Source organism: Homo sapiens, chromosome 7 (assembly GCF_000001405.40).
Source record: "Homo sapiens chromosome 7, GRCh38.p14 Primary Assembly".
Classification (NCBI taxonomy): domain Eukaryota; kingdom Metazoa; phylum Chordata; class Mammalia; order Primates; family Hominidae; genus Homo; species Homo sapiens.
In genome coordinates this window covers 26263127-26290501 of record NC_000007.14, presented here as the reverse complement: position 1 = coordinate 26290501, position 27375 = coordinate 26263127, and the positions used below count along the sequence as shown (strand labels likewise).

The following is a 27375-nucleotide window of genomic DNA, read 5'->3' as shown; positions in this document are numbered from 1 at the left end:
CCAGCACTTTGGGAGGCCGAGGCGGGCGGATCACGAGGTCAGGAGATCGAGACCATCCCGGCTAAAACGGTGAAACCCCGTCTCTACTAAAAATACAAAAAATTAGCCGGGCGTAGTGGCGGGCGCCTGTAGTCCCAGCTACTTGGGAGGCTGAGGCAGGAGAATGGCGTGAACCCGGGAGGCGGAGCTTGCAGTGAGCCGAGATCCCGCCACTGCACTCCAGCCTGGGCGACAGAGCGAGACTCCGTCTCAAAAAAAAAAAAAAAAAAAAAAAAAAGACTGGTAACTTGCAACCTGAATCCAGGAAACTTAAGTGATGGTCACCTTTTTTAGGTTGTGGCATTTTTGTTATACCATCAGTGGGATTGGGTAAAAACTGGGACTCTACGGTGGTTAAGAAACCTTGCCTACTGGCTGGGCTGGTGGCTCACGCCTGTAATCCCAGCACTTTGGGAGGCCGAGGCAGGTGGATCATCAGGAGCTTGAGACCCGCCTGGCCAACATGGTGAAAGCCCCATCTCTACTAAAATACAAAAATTAGCCGGATATGGTGGTGCGTGCCTGTAATCCCAGCTTCTTGGGAGGCTGAGACAGGAGAATCACTTGCACTGGGAGGCAGAGGTTGCAGTGAGCCAGGATCCCGCTACTGCACTCCAGCCTGGGTGACAGAGTGAGACTCTCTCTCTCAAACAAAAAAAAAAGAAAGAAACTCTGCCTACTGAGAAGATCACCATAACATTGCTTTTAAAAACAAACATCAAAATTCTTAATAGATGAGCATTTTAACCCTGAGAAGACTGAAAATTGAGTATGAGATGTGTGAAAGATTCAAGCCTGAAATATTAATATTTTGTTTTAAGGAATCTGGGCACATTTGGAATTCTATGTGCATGTTAATGTGTAAGACAACTTGGCCTACTGGAGTAACCATTTGCCTTGTACTTTAAGTTTTAAAATGTGTAATTTAATAGCTGGATACTAATGAGTTGAAGATAGTCTTATTAACTTAATAAAGTGTTGGAACACTCACTACAATTTAAGATTTACCACATTTATAAATTTAATTTATTAGATGTTGAGTTACTTGTTAATCAGACAATTAAAGACCTTTACAAGGGAAACAAATATATTAAATTCACGAATGAAGTTTAAAATGTTTAGAGGTGATTAAGTTAATGGGATCAAACATTAATCAAATGCCTTTTTGGTTGTTAAAGTTTGCTAGAGTTATAAATGGAATAAGATCACGTGTGATATTGTAAAATATGTATTTGGTCATCATCCCCATTTCCTGGTATAAAATTCTTAAAATCCTTAGAATCTCCAAAGTGATTTTTTTTGTATGCTAATGAGTTGACTGGTGGCTGGCAGCCCCTAGGTAGCTTCAGGAAGGGGCTAGTCACTGGAAAGACCACACCCTGATTAGAGGGTCAGTACTTCCAGCCCCATTCCGCAATTTCTGTGGGGTGGGGAAGGGCTGAAGATTGAGTTGATCACCAATGAACAATGGTTTAATCAATCATGCCTACATAATGAAGCCTCCATAAACACACAAGAGGACAGGGTTCAGAGAGCTTCAGGATAGCTGAACATTTACAGGTGTATGGAGGGTGGTCCACCTGAGAAGGGCATGGAAGCTCCATGCCCCTTCCCCCATGCCTCGCTCTATGCATCACTTCATCTGTATCCTTTGTACCATCTTTCTGATAAATGTATCTGTTTCCCACAGTTCTGTGAGCCACTCTAGCAAATTATTTGAACCTAAGGAGGGGGTCATGGGATCCCCAATTTATAGCTGATCAGTCAGAAACACAGGTAAAACCGCCTGAGCGGAGCTTGCAATTGTCATCAGAAGTGGGAGGAGGCAATCTTGTGGGATTGAGCCCTCAACCTGTTGGATCTGACACTGTCTCCAGGTAGGTGGTGTCAGAATTGAACCGGGGACGGGCGCAGTGGTTCATGTCTGTGATCCCAGCACTTTGGGAGGCCAAGGAGGTTGGATCACTTGAGGTCAAGGGTTCGAGACCAATCTGGCCAACATGGTGAAACCCCGTCTCTACTTAAAATACAAAATTAGCTGGGCGTGGTGGCCCATGCCTGTAATCCCAGCTACTCGGGAGGCAGAGGTGGCAGTGAGCCAAGATTGTGCCACTGCACTCCAGCCTGGGCAACAGTGAGACTCCATCTCAAAAAAAAAAAAAAGAGGAATTGAACTGTGGTGGAGAACACCCAGCTGGTGACAGCTGCAGAATTAACTGGTTGCTTGGTGTGTGGGGAGAAACCTCCACACCTTTGGTCACAGAAGCCTTCCATGTTGACTACGGAGTGAGAGCAGAAGAAAAATTTTTTCCACAGAGTTAGGAAAACTTTAAAAACTAAGGAATAATTATACTCTTAAACTTGTAACTTTAACAAATCAAATATTCTAAAAATAGCATCAAAACAATATTTTCTGTTCACAAGAACTACTCTTGGAGGCGTACACACACACACAAACCACATAAACAATTATGACCAGGCCAGGCATGGTGGCTCACGCCTGTAATCCTAGCACTTTGGGAGGCCAAGGCGGGCAGATCACCCGAGGTCAGGAGTCCCAAGACCAACCTGGCCAACATGGTGAAAACCCATCTCTACTACAAATACAAAAAATTAACCAGGCATGGTGGCACATACCTGTAATCCCAGCTACTCGGGAGGCTGAGGCAGAAGAATTGCTTGAACCTAGAGGGGGAAGTTGCAGTGAGCCGAGATTGCGCCACTGCACTCCAGCCTGGGCAACAGAGCGAGACTCCATCTCAAAAAAAAAGAAAAAATATATATATAATCATTTCTGCCTCTCTTGGTATAATGTCCTTATGCTGGGGAAAGATATTTTATTCTGTGTCTTATGGACTATCTTCTCGGTTCTTTGTATTTAGGGCTGTAACGGGAGCATTTGAGGAACATTTTGCTTTCTTGTATTTGTGGTAGATGTACTACTACACCAGCTTCATAGGGCTGTTGTGGAGTTTAAATGAAATAACCCGGGTAAAGCTCTTGTGCTGGGTCAACAGTAAGTGTTCAGTAAATTGTAGCTATTATTATAACTTGATCCTTTTCTCCAATCTCTCCTGTCTCGAAGCTAAGTGCACTTAGTTACATACACTAAGGAAAGCCACCTCCACCCCCTGTCCTTCCTCCATCTCTTGGGAAAATTGCAAAATCCACAGAGAGTAAAAATGGAAGTTGCCTGGACTTGATGTTCAGAAATTTTAATTAACTGATAATATACATAACATTGTGTTCAAAAACACTTTGCCTTTACATTTACATGAATGGTTCTGCCTTCTTGGGAAACCTGTCACAGGAAATATTTGCAATGTAGGGAAGATAGTTTTTATCTTTCATCAAGCAACTAATAATGGGATGTAAGAAAAAATCTAAACAAATGACAATTTGGATTTTGATTTCTGATCTTGTGATTATAATTACTGTTTCTTCAAAAGAATGAAATATAGATTAATGGTGAATAAAATAACCACTCTTGAATATCAATCTTATATAGTTTTTCAAAATATTTAACCTATGCACGCCTCTCCAAAAAAGACTAGAAAAACGTTTTGAGTGACCTTACCTGTTTGTAAGACGAAAGGGTTTAACTTCTCATCCATCCACCCACCTCCTTATTCTTGTTAGTGGACTACTGTTCTCCCAGTTAACACCCCAAACACGCTAACTTTGGCACTTCCTTTGACCCAATCCCTTCCTTTGATCCACTCAGGTCCAAGATCCATACATTTCGTCTTGGCCAGATCATGGTGGAACTCACCTTCTGTGTTCTATTCTCCTGCAGACACTCTCAACTCTCAGAATCCTACAGTAGCCTCTCTACAGTGATCCAATTTACTGGTTTTTCGAACGCCTTTAGCATCAGAACCCTTTCTTCAAATGAACCCCATTTATAAAACAAAGAAAAACACAATTCCATTACTATACGTTTATCTGATGAATTCAATTTTGTAGCATTTGCTAATTATAGAGAAATCAATGACCATTGGAAACTGTTTTGTTGAACACCAAGATTTGAAATCAGGGATTTGTGAAAGATCGTTGGACTCTCCTATCAGTTTCAACATCCCATTTTTTTCCCTCTATTTGATTGCTCAATATTAACAAGATTCCAATCTACTCAGAGAAATATTTGCAAATGGTAACAATTCAGACATATGAAAAAGGAGTAGTTGAAATTTTTGTTTCAAAGTTGAAGCACTAAGGGCATCTCACATCCTCACATTTTATCACTTACAGAAGTTGCAAGTAAGAAGACCAATCCTCACTGTAAATGCTAAAGTGTCTATAATGGGAATTATCACCACACGACTTGCTACATGTTCATTTGGCTTTACACGACTGACAGGAGCACACACCCAAGCAGAGGTAGGCACCTTGCCCAATATTCCCCAGGACCACCAAGGGATGCTCTGCAGTGATGTCCTGCTCATTCTGCTCTACCAAAGTAACTTCATTCCTGGGAAAGAGAAAACAAAAACAAAAAAGCCCTTGCATTATCAAAAGCTACATTTTAAGGCCTAACGTGGTGGCTCATGCCTGTAATCCCAGCACTTTGGGAGGCCGAGGCGGGCAGATCACTTGAGGTCAGGAGTTCAAGACCAGCCTGGCCAACATGGTGAAACCCCATCTTTACTAAAAACTACAAAAATTAGCCAGGCGTGGTGGCGCACACTTGTAGTCCCAGCTACTGGGGCAGCTGAGGGAAGAGACTCACTTGAACCTGGGAGGCAGAGGTTGCAGTGAGCTGAGATCAGCCACTGCATTTCAGCCTGGATGACATAGTGACACTCTGTCTCAAAAAAAAAAAGAAGAAAAGAAAAAAGAAAAAAAAAAGCTGCATTTTAAAAGCATTGGTTTCAATGGTGAATTTTATTTTATTATTATAAACTAAAAATAAATTGGTTGATTAAAACTGACAAAAACAAAACAAACCTTAGCCATTACTGAGCATATCAAACATAAACCCATTCCCAATCATCTAATTTCTAAGCTTTTGATATAAATTGCAGTATGGTATAATTGGCACCAACACTCAACCAAAGAACAAGAGACCAGTAGAGAAGCCATCTTCTTGCATGGAGAAGCTGGGTTTTTTTTGTCTTGGGTGGGTTTGGTTTTCTTTAGTGCTCTGCATATAGCCTTTAGTACCTGTACACGTGGTACTAGTTCTGGATATTGGGTGCATTATAGTCTATAACCATGTGGAGGTAGTAGAGTACGGTGGTTAAGGCTCAGGCTCCAGCGCTGAAAAGCTTCTGTCTAATCCCCAAATTCTTTAGGCAAGTCACTTCATGTCTCTAAGCCTCAGTTTTCTTATCTGTGAAATAGTACCTATCCAACAGGGTTGTCATTACGAAATAATAGATAGAAATTACTAAGTCCAGGACTGCAGCAGAGTAGGAAAGAGCTTCATAAACATGATTTTGATGTCGTTGTTTTTAGTGCACAGCTCATCTTTCCTAAATAAATGGTTGCATAATATCCAAATCTCTTTATGACAACTTTTGCAGAAGAAAGTATACTTATACTCATTTATACAATTTTCTGTGAATGGACATACATAGGACTAAGTTTTTTTTTTAACAACCAACCTATGTATATGTATGAAATTCCTCTGAAAGGATGAACTTTGGTGAGGAGAAATAAGGAGGTAAGGGCAAACATGAGAGGAAGATTGCTTTTTAATGTATATCCTTTTGAACCATTCAAATGTTACGTAGAGTGCATTCAACAATGTATAAACAGGCCAGGCGCGGTGACTCATGCCTGTAATTCCAGTATGTTGGGAGGCCAAGGCCAGAGGCCTGAACCCAGGAATTCAAGCCTAGCTTGGGCAACATAGTGAGACCTTATCTCTGCAAAAAATAAATTAAAAAAAAAAATAGCCAAGCACAGTGGTGCACACCTGTGGTCCTAGCTTCTCAGCAGGCTGAGTTGAGAGGACTGCTTGAACCCAGGAGGTGGAAGCTGCAGTGAGCTGTTATCATGCCACTGCACTCCAGCCTGGGTGACAGAGTAAGACCCTGTCAAAAAAAAAAAAAAATATATATATATATATATATATATACACACACACACACACAGACAATATATATATATTTATATATATACTATATATTTCTCTATATACACTATATATAATATATAAATATATGTATGTATATATTTATAAGATATACAAATATATGTATGTATATATTTATAAGATATACAAATATATGTATGTATATATTTATGATACACAAATATATGTATGTATATATTTATAAGATACACAAATATATGTATGTATAGATTTATAAGATACACAAATATATGTATGTATATATTTATAAGATACACAAATATATGTATGTATATATTTATAAGATACACAAATATATGTATGTATAGATTTATAAGATACACAAATATATGTATGTATAGATTTATAAGATACACAAATATATGTATGTATAGATTTATAAGATACACAAATATATGTATGTATAGATTTATAAGATACACAAATATATGTATGTATAGATTTATAAGATACACAAATATATGTATGTATATATTTATAAGATATACAAATATATGTATGTATATATTTATAAGATATACAAATATATGTATGTATATATTTATAAGATATACAAATATGCGTATGTATATATTTATAAGATATACAAATATGTGTATGTATATATTTATAAGATATATAAATATATGTATGTATATATTTATAAGATATATTTATATATTTTCTATATATTTATACAGAAAATAGAGTATAGTACATAAATAAATATTTATAAATATTTTATTTATATACACAAATATATATATCTATATACACAAAGAGACAAGCACTGAAGGTATTGTAGGGGCAGCAAAACTCCACCTCTGTCCTCTTTTAGGCTGGGCTGGAGAATTAAATTGACGTAAGACAGATTAACAGGATGAAAGCATGCAAGTTTATTTAATACAAGTTTTACATGGCATGGGAGCCCCCATAAGGAAATGAAGACCCAGAAGCAGTTAAAGTTATTTTAACAAGGTCTGTACAGAAGTTTCTCAGTCTCAACTTTCTATCCTTGATAAGAATGCTGCGGGGGTGGCCAGGTGCAGTGGCTCATGCCTGTGGTCCCAGCACTTTGGGAGGTCCCAGCCGAGGCAGGAGGATCATGAGGTCAGGAGATCAAGACCATCCTGGCTAACACGGTGAAACCTCGTCTCTACTAAAAAATACAAAGAAAAATTAGCCAGGTGTGGTGGTGCACACCTGTAGTCCCAGCTACTTGGGAGGCTGAGGCAGGAGAATGGCGTGAACCTGGGAGGCGGAGCTTGCAGTGAGCCGAGATCGCGCCACTGCCCTCCAGCCTGGGTGACAGAGGGAGACTCTGTCTCAAAAAAAAAAAAAAAAAGAATGCTGTGGGGGTTTTGGGGGGTTTCGTTTGTTTGTTTGTTTGTTTGTTTAGAGACAAGATCTTGCTATGTTCCCCAGGCTGGACTCAAACAATCCTCTCACCTCAGCCTCCCAAAAAAATGCTGCATCTTTCACATGAGAATTTCATCTCCTGCTTTTAAGAAACTGAATGAAGGTCGTATTCTTTTTTTTTTTTCTTTGAGACAGGGTCTTTCTCTGTCACTCAGACTAGAGTGCAGTGGCACAATTATGGCTCACTGCAACCTTGACCTCCCAGGCTCAAGTGATCCTCCCACCTTAGCCTCCCAAGTTGCTGGGACTACAGGCACAAACCACCATGCCCGGATAATTTTTGTTTGTTTGTTTTGTTTTGAGACAGAGTCTTGATCTGTTGCCAAGGCTGGAGTGCAATGGTGCAATCTCAGTTCACTGCAACCTCCCCCTCCCAGGTTCAAGCAATTCTCCTGGCTCAGCCTCCGGAGTAGCTGGGATTACAGGTGCCCACCACCACACCTGGCTAATTTTTGTATTTTTAGTAGAGATGGGGTTTCACCAGGTTGGCCAGGCTGGTCTTGAACTCCTGACCTCAGGTGATCATCCTGCCTTGGCCTCCCAAAGTGCTGGGATTGAAGGCGTGTGCCATCATGCCCAGCCTTTTTTTTTTGTAGAGATAGGGTCTTGCCATGTTGCCCAGGCTGGTCTTGAACTCCTGAGTTCAAATGATCCTCCGGCCTCGGCCTCCCAAAGTGCTTGGATTTGCATGAGCCACCACGCCCAGCCAGGGGTGTCATATTCTTAACCCATTCAATAGAAACAGACAGCTCACAAAAGAGGAAGTACCAATAACTAATAAACATAAAAGGAGAATCCATTTCCCAACAGTTTAGTAAAAAAAATATTTGAGACAGGGTCTCACTCTGTCTCTGTTGCCCAGGCTGTAGTGCAGTGGTGTGATGATGGCTCACTGCAACCTCAACCTCCCAGGTTCAGGTGACTCTTCCATGTGTCTCCTGGGTAGCTGGAACTACAGGTGCACACCACTACACTTGGCTAATTTTTTGGATTTTTCATAGAGATGGGGTTTTACCATGTTGCACAGGCTGATCTCAAACTCCTGGGCTCAAGCAATCTACTCACTTCAGCCTTCCAAAATGCCAATATTACAGTGTGAGCCACTGACTCCAGCCCAAAAAATTTTTTTAATTTTTATTGTTTTTTTTTTATAGAGATAGGGTCTCACTATATTGCCCAGGCTGGTCTCGAACCCCTGGCTTCAAGCAATCCTCCCACTTCAGCCTCCCAAAGCACTGGCATTACAGGCATGATCCACCACACCCAGCCAAGTCAAAAAATTTTTGCATTGAGAATATCATATATTGACAACAGGTAGTTTCATGCTTTGCTCGTGAGAGTATAAATTGGAAAAGCAATTTTTAAAATTTATTTATTATTATTTTATTTTTGAGACAAAGTCTCGCTCTGCACCCAGGCTGGAGTGCAGTGGCGCGATCTCGGCTCACTGCAAGCTCCACCTTCCAGGTTCAAGCGATTCTCCTGCCTCAGCCACCCAAGTAGCTGGGATTACAGGCATAGGCCACCATGCCCAGCTAATTTTTGTATTTTTAGTAAAGACAGGGATTTGCCATGTAGGCCAGGCTGGTCTTGAACACCTGACCTCAGGTGATCTGCCTGCCTCAGCCTCCCAAAGTGCTGGGATTTCAGATGTGAGCCACTGCGCCCAACCTGGAAAAGCAATTCTAGAGAGCAATTTAGCAATGTCCTATTGAAAGGACAGGCAAGCCCCAAAATCGCGGCTTAGCGTGGGAGGGTTCTTAGCTTCACCCAGGAAAGAATTCAAGGGTGAGCTGGTAGTGTTAAACAGCAACTTTTATTGAAGCAGCAGTGTACAACCGCAACTGTGGAGCAGGGCTACCCCATAGGCTGTGTGTACAGAATAGCAGCTCAGAGGTAGTTCAGCAGGCATAGTTATACCCACTTTTAATTACATGCAAATTAAGGGGGAGTTGATGCAGAAATTTCTAGGAAAAGCATGGTAACTTCCAGGTCATCGAGTCATTGCTATGGAAAGGGAAGGTAACTTCTGAATGTTGCCATAGCAACGGTAAACTGCAATGGCACACCGGTGGGTATGTCTTATGGAAAGCTGCTTCCACCCTGGCCCTGTTTAAGCTAGTCCTCAATTTGGTCTGGTGTCCAAGCCCTTCCTCCAGAGTTGAGTCCCACCTCCTACCTCACTATCAAAACTAAACTCATATGTGCCTTATGGCCCGGCAATACTACCTCTTAGTATCTCTCCTACAGAAGCCCTCACGCATGTGCCTGAGAAGATATGTACAAGGGTAGACACTGCAGCATGGTTGGTAACAGCAAAAAACTGGAAGCAAGTTAAATGTTCACCAATACAGAAATGTTTAAATAATCCATAGTATATTCATAGTGTGGAATATCATACATCAGATTTTAAAATTAGCAAGGGCTAGCTGCTCAACACACATAGAAGCCGATATGGCATTGACTTTTGAGAAAAGAAAAAGCTTCATTGCAACTTGACTGGCAAGGAGACAGGAGGCAATTCTCAAATCTGTCTCTCAAGCAGGGGTCTGGGGCAGGTTTTATGGGCAAAGGGGAACAATGGAGGATATAGGAAGATGAGATAAAGGTGTGACCTGATTAGGTTCATGCAAAGAAGCAGTGATCTGATGAGATCATGCAATGGGGTCATGTTGGGTCCTCAACTTTTAGAAAAGTCCATACTCCAACAAAACAGGGCAACCCTTGCTTTTTAATGTGGTCTCTGTTGCTTGATCCAAAGCACTTAGATTCTGCCTGTGGTTGGTTTTTTCATTCCAGCTGGCTCTGAGGTCAGGACCTGGGCCTGCTTGATTCTTCTGGCCATACTCAGGTTAGGTGACTTGCAACCTGGGTGTCCTTAGGAGCTGAGAAACAACTCATCATTTTGTTACATTTTGTTGCTGACAAAGTTGAACCAGATTGGTCTAGTTCCAGGGTTACATATGGTTACATTGAAAGATCTTTAAGGCATACTGAGAAAGGCAAGATAGAAAATATAGTGCGCTACTTGTTAAAGGTGCAGGGTCTTGACTGCAAATTGTCAGGTTCTTGGCGTTTTGAACAGAGAATTAGACAAAATGCAAAGCAAAGCAAGGAAAGAATTAAGCAAGGAAAGCAGAGATTTATTGGAAATGAAAGTACACTCCACAGGGTAGGAGTACCTGGAGCAGTGACTCAAGGGCCCTGATTGCAGGATCTTCTGGGGTCCAAACATCCTCTAGAGGTTTTCCATTGGCCATTTGGTGGATACCTCATGCAAATAAAGTAGTGGCCCACGATCGGGCTGATTGGTTGCAGAAAGCAACCAATCAGAGGCTAAAGTGAAATTACAAAGTTACACTCCTATGCAAACATCTGATTGGTTGCTCAAAGCAACCAATCAGAGGTACTTTCAGTTTTCCATCTGCCAAGCAGAAAGTGGGGGACAGGGGTGGTTTGCAAAGGGAGTAGCGTTTGGTCATTTTGATACTTAGGTGTTGAAAGTTGGGGTTTTCCTTTTGATTTAGTTCTAGGAAGTCAGTATGAATCGGCCTTAGGTTCCCTGCCTCCAGACCCTATTCTGCCTCACTACTGTTTATATTTTAAAAGTTTTTTTTCAGTTATTTATTTACTTATTGTTTTTTGTTTTTAATTTTTTTTTTTTTTGGTAGAGACAGTGGCATCTCACTACATTGCCCTGGCTGGTCTCGACCTCCTGGCCTCGTGATCTTCCTGCCAAAGCCTCTCAAAAAGTTTTAAAATAATAAAATTTCTATTTTTCTATGTACATATATTTATGTATGTGAATATATGGTCTAGAAGGACAAATTCAAACTTTTATAAGAGATTACCTCTGGGGAGAGGAATGATCCAACATAGCAGCTAGCCTATATAATACCTTTGTGAGAATTTTTTAAAGGTTACCTTTCTTCCAGACAATTTACTGCCATCTGCTGGAAAATTATCATTTAAAAATATCAAATATACTACCCTGTGAATAGTGACCCCTAGGGTTGCTGATGGCACAACTTGCACACAGTCTGTGGCCTTAGAGGACATTCCTTGAGACTGAGATCAAGTTTTATTCTGAGGTCTATACAAAATAAGTCAATTTGACCACATGGATAAACACTAGCTTTCAATGTGTTAAAATTTATTTTGTAACATTTCCATGTACAAAAGCACCTACGTTTTGGAGAGGTGAGGTTCGTGGGTTAAATTGTGGGTTATGTCACTGACAAAATCAGAGACTCACTGCTTCCAAGTGCAGGGAGGATTTGAGCAGCAGCAACTGGGTACTAAACAAGAAAAGTTACCTCTCAGGTCCTTCCTTTCGAATAGGAGGAATGCAGTATATTCTTGCATAATAAAGTATTTCTCAGTACCAGGTTTCCATTTTCTTCCCTTCCTGTTTCAAATCATGTTTTGGAGGCAGGAAGAATTCGTAAAGTAGTTGCAGCAATTTACAGTACTTTTGCAATATTAAGCAATTCAAATTACCATTAAATTTCTACGTGTGTGACTTTAGACATAACGCCAGTGAAATGTAATACTGATTTTTATATTGTTTGGTTTTTGTTTTTGTTTTTTTGAGACGGAGTCTCGCTCTTTCACCCAGTCCGGACTGCAGTAGCGCGATCTCGGCTCACTGCAAGCTCTGCCTCCCGGGTTCGCACCATTCTCCTGCCTCAGCGCCCCGCCTCCCCCCCTCCCCCCGAGTAGCTGGGACTACAGGCACCCGCCACCGCGCCCGGCTAATTTTTTGTATTTTTTAGTAGAGATGGGGTTTCACCGTGTTAGCCAGGATGGTCTCGGTCTCCTGACCTCGTGATCCGCCCGTCTCGGCCTCCCAAAGTGCTGGGATTACAGGTGTGAGTCACCGCGCCTGGCCTGATTTCTATATTGTTAAAGCAAACTAAACATGGCCTGAGGACTCTGTACTTCTTTTTTTTTTTTTTTTTGAGACACAAAAAAATTTTTTGAGACAGGGTAGGAGTAGCTGGAGCAGTGACTCAAGAGTTTTGCCCTTCTCACCCAGGCTGGAGTGCAGTGGTGCGATCCCAGCTCACTGCAACCTCCACCTCCCAGGTTCAAGCAATTGTACAGAAACAGCTGAATTGGCCGGGCGTGGTGGCTCACGCCTGTAATCCCAGCACTTTGGGAGGCCAAGGCGGGCAGATCACGAGGTCAGCAGATCGAGACCATCCTGGCTAACACGGTGAAACCCCGTCTCCACTAAACATACAAAAAAAATTAGCTGGGCGTGGTGGCGGGCGCCTGATAGTCCCAGCGGCTCGGGAGGCTGAGGCAGGAGAATGGCGTGAACCTGGGAGGCGGAGCTTGCAATGAGCCGAGATTGCGCCACTGCACTCCAGCCTGGGCGACAGTGAGACCCTGCCTCAAAAAAAAAAGAAAAAGAAACAGCTGAATTGGTTACAGCTTGGCGTTTGCCTTATGTGAACACAGTTTGAACACACAACAGTGTATCAGTAGTTAAAGGCGTGAGCCACTGTGCCCGGCCCTAAATAATTTATTTTCAATATTTGATGTTTAGGCTGGGCTCGGTGGCTCTTGCCTGTAATCCCAGCACTTTGGGAGGCCGAGGTGCGCAGATCACCTGAAGCCAGTAGTTTGAGACTGGCCTGGTCAACATGATGAAACCCCATCTCTACTAAAAATACAAAAAAATTAGCCGGGTTGGTGGTGTGCGCTTGTAGTTCCAGCTACTCGGGAGGCTGAGACAGGAGAATCGCTTGAACCTGGGAGGCAGAGGTTGCAATGAGCCGGGATCTCACCACTGCACTCCAGCCTGGGCTGCAAGAGCAAAACTTGGTCTCAAAAAAAAAAAAAGAAAAAAGAAAAGAAAAAAGAAATCTGGCTGGGCGTGGTGGGTCACTCCTGTAATCCCAGCACTTTGGGAGGCTGAGGCTGGTGGATCACCTGAGGTAAGGAGTTCAAGACCAGCCTGGCCAACATGATGAAACCCCGTCTCTACAAAAATTAGCCAGGCATGATGGCGGGTGCCTCTAATCCCAGCTACTCGGGAGGCTGAGGCAGGAGAATCGCTTGAATCCAGGAGGCAGATGTTGCAGCGAGCCGAGATCACACCACTGCACTCCAGCCGAGGCAACAGAGCAAGACTCCGTCTCACAAAAAAAAAAAGAAAAAAAAAGAAAGGAAAAAAGTCTATTAAATAAGATTTATTTTTGCTTTTTAATTTTTTGTCAAGAAACACACCTCTGCTTAATGTTTTAATTAAATTTATTTATTTATTTATTTATTTTTGAGGGGGCAGAGGACAAATACTTTTTAATGGGTTTTAGGATTTTTTTTTACAAATATACCAGACAATCATGCAATGCTGCCAGTATTGAACGCAATCCGGGGCCACAAGTCTGCACACTCCTTTGCTACTGGTCCTGTAATGGCAGAACCCTTCATCTCGTCTTTGTTTTTTATTATGACCCCTGCATTACCTTCAAAATAAAGAAACACACCGTCTTTTCTCCATATGACTTTTGTTGTCAAGTGACCACTGCTGGATGTACCTTTTTTCTGAGCTCTGGTTTGTCTTTCTTGACTGTGGCCATCCCCATGTCACCCACACTGGCAGGGAAGTCTGTTCAGCCGTCCCTGATCCTCTTCACGGAGATGATATACAGATTTTTGGCTCCTGTATTGTCAGCATTGTTGATCAGGGATCCTACCAGAAGACCCAAGGAAATCCAGAATTTTGCACCAGAGGACTCACCACATCCTTGCTTCGACATCTTGAATGCCAGAAAGAAGGAAAAAAGCAATTGACTTCTTTTTTTTAGAAACAGGGTCTTGCTTTGTCGCCCAGGCTGGAGTGCAGTAGCTCGAACACAGTTCACTGCAGCCTTCACCTCCTGGGCTCAAGCAATCCTTCCACCTCAGCCTCTTGAGTAGCTGGGACCACAGACATGCACCACCACACCAGACTAATTTAATTTTTTTTTTTTTTTTTTTTTTTTTTTTTTTTTGTAGAGATGAAGGTATCACCATGTTGCCAGGCTGGTCTCAAACTCCTGGGCTCATGCAATCATCCCACTTCGACCTCCCGAAGCACTGGGATTACAGGTGTGAGACTCCGTGCTCAACCTAGCTTTTAAATTTTGATAGGTGATATTGAATGTGTTAGAAGATGAATAACTTGGATAACACATATGGAACTTTTGATTAAAATATATTCAAATTTTGTTCATTTGACTATAGCTACATCTTATTTTTCTTTAGATACTTACTGTTGATAGAAGACAAATTATGTCAAAATCTTGATGATAACAAAATTAATGATTTAGATAAAATAAAATAAAGAAAAATAACTTTATGGAATAAATATATAATAATTTTGAATTTACCACTCATGTGAAAACACCAGTCCATCAACAGAACACCCAGACATGCCCAATAATAAAGAAATTCTGTAATCTTTGATATTTTTCCAAATGTCAATCACAGAAAAACATGACTATGAATGTATTTTTCAATTTTGACATTGTGAAGGTAGATCTGTCAAAGTAGGGGAATAGAATATATTTCACTTCACAGTTTGTCAGTTTGATTTATATCTTGTAAATATTTAGTCATTTGAAATACAACTCTCATGCCAGGTGTAGTGGCTCATGCCTATAACCCCAGCACTTGGGGAGGCCGAGGTAGGTGGGTCACTTGAGGCCAGGAGTTCGAGATTAGCCTCACAAACATGGCAAAACCCCGTCTCTATGAAAAATCAAAAAATTAGCCCAGTGTGGTGGCATGTGACTGTAGGCCCAGCTACTCAGGAGACTGAGGCAGGAGAATTGCTTGAACCCGGGAGGTGGAGGTTGCAGCAAGCCAAGATGGTGCCACTGCACTCCAGCCTGGGTGACAGATTGAGACTCCATCTCAAAAAAAAAAAAAAGAAAAGAAAAGAAAAAGAAATGCATCTCTCCATTTTACATTTGGCCCAGGACGTATAAATGTTAGGGGCACATTTATGAATATATACGTATGCATTTTTTAATATCACATGATAAATATCATTTCAATATACATCATAGATCTAAATATGAAAGGTAAAACTTTTAGTTGAGAAATTAGAATGCTGTTTGCTGAATATAGGCAAAAAGTTTTTAAAACTGCATACAAAGCATTAAACATCAGGAAAATTTGATAAATTGGACTGCATTAAAAGTAAGTAGTTCTGTTCATCAGGACACAATAAGAGAGTGAAAAAATTAAGAGTAGGAGAAATATTTTCAATATATACATCTGACAAACTACCTGTATCTAGAACATATAAACAACTCCTTAAAATCAATTTTTTTAAAAAGCCAGAAAACTCAATAGAAAAATGGGCCAAGTCTTGAATTTCCCATAAGATATCCAAATGAACAAGAAAGATATAAACATATAAAACAATGTTCAATCTTGTTAGTTATCAGTGAAATATACATGAAAACCACTAACACAGCCGGGCACTGTGGCTCACACCTATAATCTCAGCACTTTGGGAGGCTGAAGCGAGATTACTTAAGCCCAGGATTTTGAGACCAGCCTGGCCAACATGAAGAGACCCCCTCTCTACAAAAAAGTTAAAAAATTAGCTGGGCATGGTGGTGCACACCTATGATCCCAGCTACTCAAGAAGCTGACGTGGGAGGATTGCTTGAGCCCAGGGGGCCAAGGCAGCAGTGAGCTGTATTCGCACCACTGCACTCCAGCCATGGTGACAAAGAAATTGTCTCAAGAAACAAAAAAAAAACAAACAAAAAACACTGACCAAAATAAGACTAATAATACTAAATTTTGCTGAGGATGTGGAGCAACTAGAACTGTCATAATTCACTTTTGGGTTTTTTGTTTGTTTATTTGTTTTGTTTTGTTTTTGAGACAGAGTTTCACTCTTTCTGCCCAGGCTGGAGTGCAGTGGCGTGATCTCGGCTCACTGCAACCTCCATCTCCCAGGTTCAAGCAATTCTCCTGTCTCAGCCTCCTGAGTAGCTGGGATTACAGCTGCCCGCCGCCACGCCTGGCTAATTTTTTGTATTTTTAGTAGAAATGGGGTTTCATTATGTTGGCTAGGCTAGTCTTGAACTCCTGACCTCAGGTGATCCACCTGCCTCGGTCTCCCAAAGTGCTGGGATTACAGGCATGAGCCACCGTGCCCGGCCTCATAATTCACTTTGGAAAATCATTTGGTATTATTTACTACAGTTGAACATACACATCCCCTATGGGCCAGTGAATGCAATTCTGGATGTATAACCAGGAGAAATGCACCTGCACTCATATATTTCTAAATAACATATATAAGAATGTTCCTAGCAAAAATATGCATAATATCCCCAAACTATCAATGATGCAAATGACCATCAACATCAGGAGAGATAAGTAAACTGTGGAATATTCACACAACACTAGGAGTGAACTTATACCAACTGCTGTACACAACAATATGGATGACTCATAAGCATGATGTTTAGTGAAAGAAGCCAAACACCAAAGAGTATATAAAATACAAAACAGGCAGAACGCCCTAGAATCACCACTGAGGTTCAGTCTGTGGTTCTGCTGGACCTGACGATGGTCTTGGCCTCCCCGTGTGAGATTACGCTTTCATTGCTTCACTGTTTGGCAAATTTCTTTTCACTGCCTCTCAAGTATCACTGGAAAATACACATGGAGCTTCAAGGATTTCCCTGCTCAACATTTACATCAGCATGAACTACAGCAAAAATTTGAGCAATATGACTTCCATGAGGATCTTCATTCACCGCAGGTGGACTTTTCCCTGGGCCAGAATGAACTGACTTTACAGCCCTGTAAAGCATGCTTGAGCCAACAATACATGATTTTATTTGACTGACTCTGTCAAAGTGGAACAAATGGCCTTCATGAGCAAATTTTCTGCCATCCCAACTAGATGCGACTGTTACATTAATTACTGCGCAGTGCATTTTTCTCATTGAACACCATCTCGTATGCAGTTTCTTGAGCTGCTTGCTGCCAAGCCACCCTGGCCTCTGATCCAGAGATGCAATTGATGATACCCTACTGTGGGTTATGGAGTCATCATCATTATTATTCATTTATTATTACTAGGGGCAGCAGTGGGAGCACCTTTTTGAAACTGGTCAAAAGGAAAATAACGTAGGATGGAACAAGACTTGGGAATTGGGTGGGATATAGTGAGAATGTCTTTTGTGTATATGACTCAGTCCTTTTTAAAAAAAGGAAATTCAAATGTAATCGTTTGATATTTTGTCTGTATAAAAATATGCCACGTTGAAACCTCAATATCAGCTGCAACTAGCTGGGATCAAAAAAATTGTCATCTTTGGGTGACATACTGTAATAACAGGTCACGTATAGTCTTTTCTTCATGTTTGGCTGCTGATAGCTTTTAAGTCTCACACCTTCCTCTTCCCCTCTGTCTCACACCTGGGCAAGCTGATAAAAGCTAGTTATCCACCCTTTGGCACCATCAGGAAGTCCAAACACACATGGAACCCTCACCTGGCCCTACCTCCAAATATCCTAATACTCCCAGGCCAGTCTCTTTTTACTCCTCTCTCAAGCTATTTTTGGACCTGCTTGGGAGCCACCCTACTCTCCACAGAAAGTCTCATTATATAAATAATAAACCTTTTCATGCCCTTGTAGGGTGTGTGTGGCATTTTCAGCCTCAACATCCCACTCACGTTTTTTTTTTTTTTTGGAAACAGAGTCTCACTCTCTTGCCTAGGCTGGAGTGCAGTGGCGGGATCTCAGCTCACTGCAACCTCCACTTCCCGGGTTCAAGCGATTCTCCTGCCTCAGCCTCCCAAGTAGCTGGGATTACAGGTGCCTGCCACCACGTCCAGCTAATTTTTGTATTCTTTTTTTTTTTTTTTTGAGACAGAGTCTCGCTCTGTCGCCCAGGCAGGAGTGCGTGGCTCGGTCTCCGCTCACTGCAAGCTCTGCCTCCCGGCTTCAGGCCATTCTCCTGCCTCAGCCTCCCGAGTAGCTGGGACTACAGGTGCCCGCCACCTCCCCCAGCTAATTTTTTGTATTTTTAGTAGAGACAGGGTTTCATCATGTTAGCCAGGATGGTCTCGATCTCCTGAGCTCGTGATCCGCCCGCCTCGGCCTCCCAAAGTGCTGGGATTACAGGCGTGAGCCACCGCGCCCAGCCTATCGTTAGTTCTTATAGGTTTTGGGATAGGCGGTGGAGTTAGGAGCAATGTTTTGCGGGCAGGGGGTGGATCTCACAAAGTACATTCTCAAGGGTGGGGAGAATTACAAAGAACCTTCTTAAGGGTGGAGGAGATTACAAAGTACATTGATCAGTTAGGGTGGGGCAGAAACAAATTACAATGGTGGAATGTCATCAGTTAAGGCTACTTTCACTTCTTTTGTGGATCTTCAGTTGCTTCCGGTGATCTGGATATATATGTGCAGGTCACAGGGGATATGATGGCTTAGCTTGGGCTCAGAGGCCTGACAGGAACTGTACAAGGAGATTAATGTCTTATGTTTATGAACCCAACATCCATTCTGCAGCCCATGGATCAACGAGTCATTCTGAATTTCAAGTCTTATTATTTAAGAAATACTGGCCGGGCATGGTGGCTCACACCTGTAATTCCAGCACTTTAGGAGGCCGAGGAGGGTAGATTACCTGAGGTCAGGAGATCGAGACCAGCCTGGCCAACATGGTGAAACCCTGTCTCTACTAAAAATACAAAAATTAGCCAGGCATGGTGGTGGGCGCTTCTAATACCAGCTACTCAGAAGGCTGAGGCAGGAGAATCGCTTGAACCCAGGAGGTGGAGGTTGCAGTGAGCCAAGATTGTGCCATTGCACCCCGGCCTGGGTGACAAGAGTGAAACTGTCTCAAAAAAAAGAAAAAGAGAAAGAAATACTGGCCAGGCACAGTGGCTCACGCCTGTAATCCTAGCACTTTGGGAGGCCGAGGAGGGCAGATCTCTTGAGGTCAGGAGCTTGAAACCAGCCTGGCCAACAAGGTGCAACCCCATCTCTACTAGAAATACAAAAAAAAATTAGCCTGGCATGGTGGTGCGCACCTGTAATCCCAGCTACTTGGGAGGCTGAGGCAAGAGAATTGCTTGAACCTGGGAGGCGGAGGTTGCAGTTAGCCTAGATCGTGCCACTGCACTCTAGCCTGGGCAACAGAGCAACACTCTGTCTCAAAAAAAAAAGAAAAGAAAGAGAAATACACTTTGTAAAGCTGTAGCTGTTGTAGATGGTTCCTCTGATGGATCTGGGCAAAATACATTGAAAACCTTCTGGAAAGGATTCACCATTCTGGATGCCATTAAGAACATTTGTGGGAGGAAGTAAAAATGACAACATTCACAGGAGTTTGGAATAAGTTGATTCCAATGCTCATGGATGACTTGGAAGGGCTCAAGACCAGTGAGGAAGTCACTGCAGATGTGGTGGAAATAGCAAGAGAACTAGAATTAGAAATGGAGTCTGGAGATGTGATTGAATTGCTGCAATCTCATGATCAAACTTGAATGGATGTGCAGTTCCTTCTTATGGATGAGCAAAGAAAGTGGTGTTTTGAGAAACCAGGAATGTACTCCTGGTGAAGGTGCTGTGAATATTGCTGAAATGACAACAAAGGATTTAGAATATTCCATCAACATGATAAAGCAGTGGCAAGGTTTGAAAGAACTGACTCCTATTAAGAAAAAAAAATTCTTCCTTCTTGAGGATTTCTAACTGGTATGAAAAAAAATTAAAAGAAAAATATGAACAAAAAGTTATTAAAATATAGTAAAAAAGAAAAAATTCTATTGTGGTAATATGCTAACACACAGCATTGCATGCTACAGATAAATCTTTCATAAAAGAGTCAATGTGGTGAACTTCACTGTTGTCTTATTTTAAGAAATTTCCACAGCCACCCAGCCTTTAGCAACCATCACCCTGATCAGTCAGCAGCCTTCAACATCAAGGCAAGACCCTCCACCAGCAATAAAATTAAGACTCACTGAAGTCTCAGGTGATCATTATTAGCATTTTAGGCCATAAAGCATTTTATGTATATATTTACTTATTTATTTATTTATTTATTTGAGATGGAGTCTTGCTCTGTCGCCCAGGCTGGAGTGCCGTGGTGTGATCTCAGCTCACTGGAACCTCTGCCTCCCGGGTTCAAGCAATTTTCTTGCCTCAGCCTCCAAAGTAGCTAGGACTACAGGTGCATGCCACCACGCCTGGCTAATTTTTATTATCTATTTATTTATTTATTTTTGAGATGGAGTCTCGCTCTGTTGCCCAGGCTGGAGTACAGTGGCATGATCGTGGCTCACTGCAACCTCCGCCTCCTGGGTTCAAGCGATTCTCCTGCCTCAGCCTCCCGAGTAGCTGGGACTACAGGCACGTGCCACCACACCCAGCTAATTTTTTGTATTTTTAGTAGAGATGGGATTTCACCATGTTGGCCAGGCTGGTCTCGAACTCCTGACCTCAAGTGATATGCCTGCCTCAGCCTCCCAAAGTGCTGGGATTACAGGCATGAGCCACCATGTCCAGCCAATAAAGCATTTTAAAATTAAGGTATACACATTGTTTTCTTAGACATAATGCCATTTGCACACTTAATAGACTGCAGTATTATATAAACATAACTTCTATCTGTACTGGGAAACCAAAAAAATTGTGTGACTCACTTATAGTGATATTAGCTTTATTGCAGTGGTCTAAAACCAAACCTCCAATATCTCCAATGTATGCCTGTATAAAAATGGCCAATAAACGTATGAAAAGATATGCAAAAGTAGTTATTAGGGAAATGCAAAAAGCCACAAAGAGCCACTTCACACCCAATAGCGTGGCTGAAATTAAAATGACACATAATAACAAATATTGGTTAGGTGAAGAAACTGGAAGTTTCCTACACTGCTGGCGGGAATGTAAAATGGCGTAGTCTGGCAGTTCCTCAAAAGGGTAAACTTAGAGTTACCATATGACCCCTTGGGTATACACCAAAGAGAAATAAAAACATATGTCTACATAAAAACTTGTTCACAGCAGTATTATTTGTAATAGCCAAAAAGTAAAAACAACCCAAATGTCCATCAGCTGATGAACAAATAAACAATATGTGGTATATCTATACAATGGAATATTATTCAACAATACAGGAGACTTAAGTACTAAATGTGTTAAAACATGAACAAACCTTTAAAACATTATGCTAAATGAAAGAAGTCAGTCACAAAGACCACATATTATATGATTCCATCTATATAAAATGTCTAGAAAAGGCAAATGCATAGAGATATTATCAGGTGCAAAGCTTTTCTTCCCATGTTTTTCACAATGACATTAGTTGAATTTGTGTAGCATGTATATTCAAAGGATAAAAACCAGAAATCTGCCAGCATGGGCACCATAGTGAGACTCTGTCCCTACAAAATATTTTAAAAATTAGCCAAGTGTGGTGTTGCGTGCCTGTAGTCCCAGCTACTCAGGAGGCTGAGACAGAAGGATCGTTTGAGCCCAGGAGTTTGAGGCTGAAGTAAGCTCTGATGGCCACTGCACTCCAGCCTGGGGACAGAGCCAGACCCAGTCTCTGCAAACAAACAGAAAAACAAATGAACCCAGAAATCTGGTAAAGCAGGAACCATAAAAATCTGAAAACTGGAAGCAACAAGTTCCTCTCAAAGGATTCCATTTATTTATTTAATTATTTAGAGACAGGGTCTCGCTTTTTTGCCCAGGTTGGAGGGCAGTGGTACAATCATAGCTCACTGCAGCCTCAAATTCCTGGGCTCACGCAATCCTCCTACCTCAGCCTCCCAAGTAGCTGGGACCACAGGTGTGTGCCACTACGCCCAGCTAAATTTGTATCTTTTTTTTTTTTGGTAGAGACGGGGTCTCACTACGTTGCCCAAACTGACCTCAAAAACCTAGGCTCAAGCAATCCTCCCACCTCAGCCTCCCAGAGTGTTGGGATTACAGGCGTCAGCCACCGCGCCCAGCTTCAGAGGATTCTTCAGGTAGCCACTGGTCTGGCCCACAGTGAGAGCAGGTGTTGCTGAGAAAATGCATCAGTTCTGATAATAGCTGCCATAAATTGGTGCCCCATGTCCCAGACATTCTTGTTATCATCTTACTTAATCCTTCAATACCCCTGCCATGCAAGTGGCCAAAGTACAAAATATTTAATAGAGGAAAATATAGGCATTCCTTGTTATATGTTACTTTACCCTGCAATAACCCATTTGTTTGACATCATTGGAGAATAAAATGTTACACATTTTTAGATAAGATTAAAAAAAAAAAAGAATTACGCTCCTGCTCACCTAGAGGATTCCGGCCAGTATGACTGTCTGCGACAAAGTTCATAGTCATGATTATTATAAGACCCCACACTAAAACCCATTACTAAAACCCAACACTTCACATGTAGGAAAACCCTTAAAACTCATAGTTAGACCTCTTTTCCTCTTATTTACTGCAATTCTGGACTCTCTGGTAGCCCATAAAACAGAAGAGGACAAGAAATGTTCAGGGTAGGCATCATGATATCAGAAAGGAAAGAGAAAAACTTTTTGAAAAGTAAGTCTGAAAAGATCCCCTAAATCCCAACACCACTGCAAAGCTGATATCCATCTTCCTCATCAGACTATGGGCTTCCTGAAGGCAGGAACTGTGCTGCCTGTAGACTCCAGAAGTTCCAGATATGGACCCGAACACAGGCTCTAGGTCCTCAATAAAGTCATAAGGATGAGAGGGGAAGGAAAGCAAGCAGAAAGCAAACTGAAAAGAACATTCTTGAAAAAAACTGGGCCAGTGTGGTGGCTCACGCCTGTAATCCCAGCACTTTGGGAGGCCAAGGCGGGCAGATCACGAGGTCAGGAGATCGAGACCATCCTGGCTAACACAGTGAAACCCTGTCTCTACTAAAAATACAAAAACTTAGCGGGTGTGGTGGTGGGCGCCTGCAGTCCCAGCTACTCGGGAGGCTGAGGCAGGAGAATGGCCTGAACCGGGGAGGCGGAGCTTGCAGTGAGCCGACTGCACTCCAGCCTGGGCAACAGAGTGAGACTCCATCTCAAAAAACAAAAAAAAAAAAACCTTGCTAAAAATGCCCCTATTGGCTAATCCTAAGGGCAACTTTTTTTCTTGTTCTTTCTTTTTTTTTAAGACAGGGTCTTGCCCTGTTGCCCAGGCTGGAGTGCAGTGGCCCAATCACAGCTCACTGAAGCCTTGACCTCCTGGGCTCAATCAATTCTCCCACCTCAGCCTCACTAGTAGCTGGGACTACAGGCACATGCCACCACATCCAGCTAATTTTCATATTTTTTGTAGAGACAGAGTTTCACCATGTTGCCCAGGCTGATTTCCAACTCCTGGGCTCAAGTGATCTGCCTGCCTCAGCCTCCCAAAGTGTTGGGATTACAAGTGTGAGCCACCACACCTGGCTCCAACTTTTTTTCTGTAGAAATAAATCCCTAACAAAATAACAAAATTGTGTGGAGAAGAGAAAGAGGATATGTAGATCTCCCCTGTAATATCTATTTCATAAAGCAAAAGGAAACTTGCAAAGAAAAAGACAAATATTAGGAGAAGAAAACAGCCCGTATCTTTGCTTCAAATATTCAGATAGAGGTATCTCTTCTTTTCTTCCCCAGGTACACCTTGGTGAAGCCCTAAAGAGATTATACCTTGCTTCTGAAATGTTTTTAAATATTACTATCAAGAGAGACTGTTTCAGTTTCCAGTTGACAATGAAATTAACAATAGAAACATTCCATTCCTAGGCTAGGTGTGGTGGCTTACACCTGCAATCCCAGCACTCTGGGAGGCTGAGGCAGATGGATCACTTGAGCCCAGGAGTTTGAGAGTGACTGAGCAGGAGCATTGCCATTTTGGATAAGCACTGCCATTTTAAAGTTCCCCTTGATCAAAAACTGCCTAAATCCAAATGGTATCAGCCTAATAGCTAATGCCAGCATGAGCATAAACCACAAATGACATCTCTGACCAGAAACATTCCAACCAAAGATAAACCCCTCCCCAACCAGAGACATGCCAGCCCTGAGATAACCTCCCCTCCGACCAGAGACATTCCAATCCCACAATAAACTCCTCCACACAGAAACATTCCAAGCCTGTAATAAGCTCTCTCGCCCTAAAACCCTTAAATACTCTTAGTCTGTAAGAGAGAGTGCTCTGGACTGAAATCAGCCAGAAACCCCTCTCAGGTTTATCCTCCAAAATAAACCTGTCTTTGACTGTTGAGCTGCTTTTCACATTTCTTTCCTCTTTCTTTAACCCTCACAGAGACCTGTCTGGGCTACATGGCGAAACCCTATCTCTACAAAAAATACAAAAATTAGTTGGGTGTGGTGTCGTGTGCTTGTAATCCCAACTACTCAGGAGACTGAGGTGGGAGGGGTGGGAGTATCACTTGGGCCAACGAGGGGGCTCAAGGCTGCAGTGAGCCATGTTCACACCACTGCATTCCAATCTGCGTGATAAAGGGAGACCCTGTCTCAAAAACAAAAACAGCAATAATAACAACAAAAACGAAACATTCCATTCCTTTGTAATCAATACCAAGTAGCATTTAATTGTGTGAGGCAACAATAAGACAAAGTGAATTACAGTCTGTCCTGTTCCCGTGGCTCATCTGGACAGTCTCACCGTCTGTGATTCACTTTTCTTGGAAGTTAGTGTGAATCAAACGAAGCCAGTCATGAGCTGCCCTGGAGTATGTTTCCTGTACAGAAATTAATGTACTTCAGCTGTGTAACAAAACCTACTTGTTTTTAAAGCATTCATACCTACTTGTTTTTAAATCAATATTGAAATGGCTTGTTATTTTTTCTCCACAATTATTTCTGTGTAAGAAAAGCCATCAAAGCGTAAACCAAAAATAAAATTCTTTTTTTTTTTTTGAGACAGAGTCTTGCTCTGTCACCCAGGCTGGAGTGCAGTGGCACGATCTTGGCTCACTGCAAGCTCCGCCTCCCGGGTTCATGCCATTCTCCTGCCTCAGCCTCCTCAGTAGCTGGGACTACAGGTGCCCGCCACCACGCCCGGCTAATATTTTGTATTTTTTTAGTAGAGACGGGGTTTCACCGTGCTAGCCAGGATGGTCTGGATCTCCTGACCTCGTGATCCGCCCGCCTCGGCCTCCCAAAGTGCTGGGATTACAGGCGTGAGCCACCGCGCCTGGCCCCCAAAATAAAATTCTAATGCCCCCCAACCATCTAAACGAACTTGCTCCTCAGCCAGGGCTGTTAAAGTGTAACATGAAGGACTGGTTCAGGCCATGAAGGGAAGTGGGGGTTGGACATGCCTTATTATACCTCTCCACCATTAACATCAACACAGACTTTCAGTCTGACAAGAAGCATTTTACAGCCTGTTCTCTCTGAAGCCTGCTACCTAAAAGCTTCATCTGCATGATAAAACTTCCGTCTCCACAACTTCTTATCGTAACCCAAACATTTATTTCTGTTGATCCCAGGTCTATTGTCCATTGATCCCGGGTCTTTACACAAACTCAACTAATTGTCAACCAGAAAATGTTGAAATTCACCTATAGCCTGGAAGCCCCCCCACCCTACTTTGAGTTGTCCTGCCTTTCTGGACCAAACCAATGTATTTCTTAAATGTACTTGATTGATGACTCATGTCTCCCAAAAATGTATAAAACAAGCTGCACGCCAACCACCCTGGGCACATGTCGTCAGGACCTCCTGAGGCTGTGTCACAGGCGCATCCTCAACCTTGGCAAAATAAACTTTCTAAATTAACTGAGACCTATCTCAGATTTTCTGAGGTTCACAAAAGTAAATCCAGAACCATAGACCATCATAATCTCTCCTTAGCCCCTGCTTTCATTTATGTTTATCTTCTTAAGGTTTGTTCATTCATTCAACAGGTACTTACTGAGCATCTGTTTTGTGTCAGCCCACAAGCCAGCTTTTTCAATAGACATTATCCCTGTCCTCATGAAGCTAACAATCTATTAGGAAAGATGAATTTTAATCCAGTAACCACAAAAATAATTAAGTATAATCTGCTTTAAGTGCTATGAAGAAAAAGTACTAAGTGTTATAAAAGTAAAAACTGACAGAACTGACCTTGTCTAGAGGAATCAGGGAAGGTTTCACTGAGAAAAGAGATTTGGCGTGACATCTGATGTTTCTGGCATTTGGAATCACATGTTCAGAGGCCCTGTGGCTGAAGCACAGTGCCCGGGAGGACCACTGGAGATAAAATTGCAAAGGTAGTTATAAGAAATGAAGCTGCAAAAATGTTCACAAGGAGTTATAGCCAGGTTAGGGATTTTGGACTAAATCCTAGAACATCATGAAGCCAGTAAGGAGTTTTAGATAGAACAGGAATGTGATCAGATTTCCATTTTGAGAAGATCACTCAGAAGAGTAGTTGTTACAGGGTCTCCCTATATTGCCCAGACTAGTCCTGACTCCTGGGCTCAACCAATCCTCCTGCCTCAACCTCCCAAAGTGCTGGGATTACACTGAGCCACTGCACTCAGCTTTGAATAAGATTTAGAAGAATGAATACAAGGAGACTAGAGAGCGATAACAAATATTTGAGTGAGAGATGAGGATAACTGGCCTAGGGTGTTGGCATTGAGTATGAAGAACACTGAAAGTTTTAACAAGTATTTAGAAGGCAAAATTGATGGTTGTGGTTAACTGTAAGTGGTTTGACAGTAATTTTATTTATTTATTTATTTCCTCTGTCAGGTGCTCATAGTGAATTGGCAGTAATTTCAGAGAAGAAGGAGATTATTCTCATAATGCTTAAGAGGTAGCAAGTTAGAATGGGAA

General features: G+C 42.1%; 1 pseudogene, besides 1 other annotated feature; it reads right to left on the bottom strand.

Annotated features, from left to right (window-relative positions):
- Window positions 13836-14317, bottom strand: RPL23P7 (ribosomal protein L23 pseudogene 7; annotated as a pseudogene).
- Window positions 18656-18857: a silencer, noted in NCBI's record as "fragment chr7:26311265-26311466 (GRCh37/hg19 assembly coordinates)". NCBI's record gives its function as "represses an EF-1alpha promoter that drives an FKBP-Casp9 reporter gene in an ReSE screen in K562 erythroleukemia cells {active_cell/tissue: K562}" and the evidence as "EXISTENCE:reporter gene assay evidence [ECO:0000049][PMID:32094911]".